This window comes from Homo sapiens, chromosome 11, assembly GCF_000001405.40.
Source record: "Homo sapiens chromosome 11, GRCh38.p14 Primary Assembly".
Taxonomy (NCBI): Eukaryota; Metazoa; Chordata; class Mammalia; order Primates; family Hominidae; genus Homo; species Homo sapiens.
The window spans coordinates 96,991,133-96,992,400 of NC_000011.10; positions in this window are offsets into that span (position 1 = coordinate 96,991,133).

Consider the following 1,268-nt stretch of genomic DNA (forward strand, 5'->3'; position numbering starts at 1 on the left):
TACAACACAGAGCCTTAGCATTTTGGAGCAGAGCACTTTCATCTACTGTGGATAATTACTCTCTCTGAGAAACTGCTGTGGCTTGAAGCTTCAGCTTAGAAGAGGCTAAATGCTTAACTGGACCAGCAAGTTACCAGAAACTTGAACTGCCCATCATGAACTTGGGGGTTATCTGACCCATCAAGCCATAAAGCTTCAGGAACGCCCAGTATAGGGATATATTATCAAATAGTAGTAGTATATATGAGCTTAGATTTGAACAAGCCCTGAAGGCATAAATAAGCTTAATGAGGAAATTGTATAAATGCCATGGCCCCTACTCCACCATATTACCTACTGTCTCCCAGCCCATACCTATGGCCTTATGAGAAGTTCTCTGCAATCAGTTGATTGGGGAAGATAAAACTCGGGCCTACTTTACAAATGGTCTTGCAAGATATGCAGGAACCACTTGAAAATGGAATACAGCTGCAGAACTGAGACGTCTCTGAAAGGGAGTAGTTTAAAAAATCCAACCAATGGGCAACACTTTTAGCAGTGCACCTGGTTGTCCATTTTGTTTAAAAAGAGAAATGGGCCCGGTGCCGTGGCTCATGCCTGTAATCCCAGCACTTTGGGAGGCCGAGGCGGGCGGATCACAAGGTCAGGAGATCGAGACCATCCTGGCTAACGCGGTGAAACCCCATCTCTACTAAAAATACAAAAAAATTAGCCAGGCGTAGTGGCAGGCACCTGTAGTCCCAGCTACTCGGGAGGCTGAGGCAGGAGAATGGCGTGAACCCGGGAGGCGGAGCTTGCAGTGATCCGAGATCGCGCCACTGTACTCCAGCCTGGGCGACAGAGCGAGACTCCATCTCAAAAAAAAAAAAAAAAAAAAAAAAAAAAAAAAAAAAAGAAATGGCTAGCGATAATGCGTTTATATCAATAGGCTGTGGTCAAAGGTTTGGCTTGGAGGAAATACAATTGGAAAATTGATGATAAGGAAGTCTGAGTATGGGAGGTAAAGTATGTGGATAGATCTCTCTGCATGGGTAAAGAACATGAAGTTATTTTTGCCCCATGTCAATGTTCACCAAAAAGTTATTTCAGCAGAGAGGGATGTTAATAATTAAGTGATTAGGAGAACTCATTCTGTGGACACCAGTGAGCCTGTTTCCCTAGCCAGTCCTGTCATGCCCAATGTGCTCATGAACAAAAAGTACCTGTGGTGGCAGGGATGGAGGCTATGCATGAAATACAATGTGGATTTCCGCTTACCAAGGCCAATC